The sequence below is a fragment of the Homo sapiens genome, chromosome X (genome assembly GCF_000001405.40).
Source record: "Homo sapiens chromosome X, GRCh38.p14 Primary Assembly".
Taxonomy (NCBI): Eukaryota; Metazoa; Chordata; class Mammalia; order Primates; family Hominidae; genus Homo; species Homo sapiens.
In genome coordinates, this window is record NC_000023.11 from 88,824,020 (window position 1) to 88,828,956 (window position 4,937).

At 36.2% G+C, this 4,937-nt stretch overlaps 1 annotated feature.

Annotated features, from left to right (window-relative positions):
* Positions 4,227 to 4,728: an enhancer, noted in NCBI's record as "NANOG hESC enhancer chrX:88083247-88083748 (GRCh37/hg19 assembly coordinates)". NCBI's record gives its function as "activates a minimal SCP1, AML or CMV promoter by ChIP-STARR-seq in primed H9 embryonic stem cells {active_cell/tissue: H9 hESC(primed)}" and the evidence as "EXISTENCE:reporter gene assay evidence [ECO:0000049][PMID:30033119]".

The following is a 4,937-nucleotide window of genomic DNA, read 5'->3' on the forward strand; positions in this document are numbered from 1 at the left end:
CATGAGGGTTTGATTGTGGTATAAAGTGAGTTCAGTTGACTGGGTTTGTTTCTGGAAGATTTTAGAGGGTCAAGGCTCAGCTCATCACTTCTGCTCTGCATGATTTAAATCTGGGATGATGGTATCAGGCTGTGACTTTGTTCTCTGGCCCCTCAGTTTTAGGAACTTACTGGGTTGGAGGGGCCAAATTGTTCCTGTTCCATTGGCTATCACACTGTGTTGGGTGTTTCCAGCCAAAGCACTTTTTCAGGGCTGTAGCAGCAGGATCAATGCTTGCTCATACATGCCAGCAGGCATAGCAGTGCAGAGGAGAACATGCACATTAGCTGGGGTGGGGTTAAATTGGCAGCTTTAATATTTCTACATAGCAAACATTTTTTCTTTTTACTTAACTAGATGTATAAATATATGTGTAATATATCTGCAAATACCATTTGTTAAGATATATTTAACTTTTATTAAAAAGTCAATATCTAATAAATAAGATTTTTCAATATCTTAAATCTTTAATAAAATAATCTTGTTTTTATCAAATATTATTTATGGCTGCATTATTGCTCACAATAAAGCCAGACATTATTGACAACTATTTATTGAGCACCTTCTATATGTTATTTAATTAATCTACAGTGCTTTAAAAATTCAGAGCCATTAAATTAAATAGCTGAAATTAAGTAGCATGTCTTTTCTCAAATATAAAACATAGTGAAATAATAAAGATAATTTTTTTTCTAGTTAACTTTTTCAGGTTAATATGATTTATGTAACACATACTTTCTGAGTATACACAAGGTCCTAGGCATTGTAAAGAAAGGAAGTAAGTACAGCAGATGAAATGAATAACTAATTGAGGGCTTCCAGGTGACTTCACAAGAGAAAGGACCTATTAAGCTGTATTTCTCTCCAACTTTACTGAGGTGTGATTGACAAATAAAGATTGTATATATTTAAGATGTATAACATGATGTTTTGGTATACATATACATTGTAAAATTATTGTTACAATCAAACTAGTTAATATATCCATCAGCTCACAGTTATACTTTGTGTGTGTGTGGCGAGAACAATTGAGATCGAGTCTTAGCAAATTTCAAGTATGCAATACACTAATTAACTATAATCATATGGTGCACATTTGGTCTCTAAAATTTATTTACCTTGCAACTGAAAGTTTGTATACTTTGGCCAAAGTTTCCCCATTATTCTCACACCCCAGGCCCAAGTAACCTGATTTTGCCAAGTTCTGTATCCAGGTTTTCCTGTATCTGGTTAAGCTTCCTTAAAACTATTATTTTGAATTATTTACCAATCAAATTCTAGATCTCAATTCCTTTGAAGTTTGTTACTGGGTGATTATTATGTTCTTTGAAAGGCAGCTATGCTCACCACTTTACCACCAGTGCCATTTATTGTGTTTCTTTGGTGTTGTCATGTTTCCTTGATTTTACCTGTTTCTTGAAATCTTCTACTGCTATCTTCCCATTTGAAGAAGCAGTCACCTCTTTACTGACTGGCTTTAGAAACAAAAAATGCCTTTACCAGTAAGTCTTGTCAGGGATTCTGAAGTTTTCTCACACCTTTTCTGTGAATATGTCTGTTCTACACCTCTTATTTATTCTTGGTGGTGGGGGAAGGATTCTTAAGATTGTGTACCTTCTCCCTATTCTGCAAAGCCAGGACAGATGCTGAGAGTCTCTTATTGGTTTTCCATAGAGTGGTCCCCTAAAATATTCAAGTTTGTGTGTCTTCTTCCAATCACACAGTGTCAAGTTTGCTGTGTACAAGTGCTCACAAGCCATTTTCGGAGGCTCACATATACTGTCTGTGGAAATGAACATGGGGAGCAAGCCACATGTTTGAGGGGCAGAGTGTGAAGTGAGTGGAGCTTTGGGGTGCCTTTGGACCACTTGGGGGGGTCTCCAGGTAAGGGTCATAAGTGGGCTTTCTGTTTAAGTCTATGAAGCAGTTTGTAGAATTTATGACTGTTTTTGAAATTCCAAGCCCTGGTTGCTGTGAGTTTCTGCCTCCCTTTTCTGCTTCCAGCCTTTCCCAACCACTCAGTCATGCTGATCACCTCAGTACTGAGTGAAGCAAGTAAGAATGCTTGCCCTCTTGAGCAGTATACCACCTGGCTTGGAAGCCAGATGCTCACTGTCTAGCCCCCCCACTTTTCACTTTTCTCTGTGAGAGAAATTGTGGGCTGAGTTTATCTCCATTGGCAATTAGCTGAGCCACCTCAGAAGAGTGGTGGTGTGGGTAAAGTAAAGGTGTTCTTTCTATCCTCTTCAGTGCATCTATTATTGAAATATTATTTTTATCCAGTGGTGTGCTAGAACTTCTACCCTAGACTCCCACACAAGCACTCTCATCAATCTGTGATTGCCAAAATTGATGTTTCTGTGAAAACATGACAGTAGACTCCTAGTCTGTCATATTGCTGATGTCACTCTTGAACAATTATTTTCTAACTGAGTAATTCTTACATGTCATACAGGAGTAAACAATTAGCTGTCCATTTTAGTTACAGAAATATAAGTTTAACCTATATCGATACTACCAATTCAAATACACTGTTATTGCTTTATTTCCTCATTTTTTCTTAAAGTTTTATGATTAAAATTGTAAAACATCAAAATGTAATCGTTGAAGATACCAGTTTCTATCATTCAAGCTTAACTTATATATTTTATTATGTATACTTTCAAATAAAATTCTACATGGCTTTTCCTAAAAATCAAATATATACTAGTAGCCAAACACTATAGAAGGAACCAGAGTCCACAGACACATAAAGACATGTTTACAAAAGTGAGTGATATATTTTTAGAATAAGAAAACTATCTTAACTGTATCTTTTGAAATAAAGATGAGCTTAAAACTTAGGACTCATGAATTCCAATGTTCTTGTTGGTCTTACTTACAGCTACTAAAATTCTAAATAAACAGTAAAAAAAAATGACATGATGGCAAAATTAGTTATGTGTACATTTTATTTACATTTATAGTCTTCCTAAGTGTCAGAAGAGTGAGATTGTTTAAATTTCTCTATAGATATCTAAGGAAGCTCTTAGGGTACCTGAAAAACTACTTACCCAGTGAGTAGATAGTTATTATATGTGACAACACATACTCAGTATCTTTACAAAGGAACTAACAACTCTTCAGCAAACCCCACACAAAAGTTCATTTTGTAAAGCTAACATACACTTTTTAATAGCATCGACTTATCCGACACTAAGACAAGTAATCAAAATAGTGCAGTTCATTAGCATGAGTAAAAGAAAAACATCATTTGCCTAAGCCTAGGCAGATATTTCTTTTATGAATAGCAATAATTTTAATTTGTAAAATAATCTTACAGAATGACTTATTTAAAAATCTTTATAGATATAACCTCTCTATATTCATTAATAAGTCCTCAAAATATTGTATTTTATCACCTTAAAGTTTAATTTACTGTTAATATTTACAAACATAGTTTTTATTTGAAATAATTTTAGCACTGAAAAACAATGTTATCTGAAAGCAATCATTTTCTAATGATGTTTGTCACTAAATGAAAGTTTGTTGATATTATACTGAGATGGTAGATTTTTATGTTTCTGATCTATGGGTACATAGCTCTTAAAATATATTTTCCATGACACCCTTTTCTTGAGATGATGCTAGGTAAATATATTAACTCCACAACTGTGCTAAGTAAGAATCTTTGAATAAACAAAACTTTACAGTGAGAAGTCTTATCACTGCATAATAATGTAAGCAGTATTTCTCCTTGAAATACTTTATAATTTTTCCGGATACTTGAATTTGATTGGTCTAAGACTGTCTATTCAGCATATCCTATTTTTGTTTCAAGTAGGCTTTCCATGTTTAGCAAATAAATCCTAGTCTCAAGCTGCCCCTTGACTATTATTTGGCTGTCTACTGTTTCTTCTCATATTGGTTTATATGATAAAAAAAAATATTGGCATAATCACAGGGAGAGATACTGATATGTAGATTTCTATGGTTTAAATGTTTCCCCTCCTAAATTCAGGAGTTGCAGAATTTATTATCGGGTTGTGTCTTTAAGAGGTGATTAGGCCATGAGGGGTGCTCCTTTGAGGATGGGATTAAGGCTCTTATAAAAGAGGCTTTATGCAGTGTTTGTCTAGCTTACTCTTCCATATTACTTTAGAAGAGGAAAGTAGCCTTCACCAGACAATAGAACCTGCTGGTTCTTTGATCTTAAAAGGGGACAGCACTGTCACACATTATGCAGTACATGTTTGTGCTTAAGCTGGTGCTAAATCATTCAAAGATGACCTACTTCCGGGTCACAAAGTTGCCTTAGGTCTTTGTTTCCTGCATTCTAGCCTAGTGCTCCTTGCCCCAGTTGTAGTTCAAGTGGGCCTAGGCATGGCTGAGGCTAGCACTTCAGAAGGCACAGTAATGAGCCTTGGTGGTAATTTGGTGCTAATGGAGTGCTAACTCCATGTGGTGCTAATTTTACAAATATGCAGAGTGCATGAGCTATGGAGGCATGGCATGGTTCACTTAAATGTCAAATAATGTCTTAGACAGTTTTGGGGTCTGGGCAGAGACCTGCCACCAGATCAGAGTTGTTGCAGAAAGCTCTCTCGAGCAATACTTAGAGTGGAGCTGTGGGATTAGGGCCACTCCTGAGACCCGAGACCTCTAGAGCCACCAACATGCAATGTCAGCTTGGGAGAGCCACAGGTATCTCACTGCAACTTGTGAGAGCTGTGTCATGGGCTGCGTCCAACAAAGGGGTGAGTTTACCTGGAGCCTTAAGGACCCTGCCCCCACTGCAACTTGTATGGAAGGTGGGACATGGAACAAAGAAGATTATTCAAGCCTCAAGATGTAATAATTTTTGCCTTGTGTTTTGGACTAACCTATGACCTGTTTCTCCTTTCTCCTTTCCTATTTCT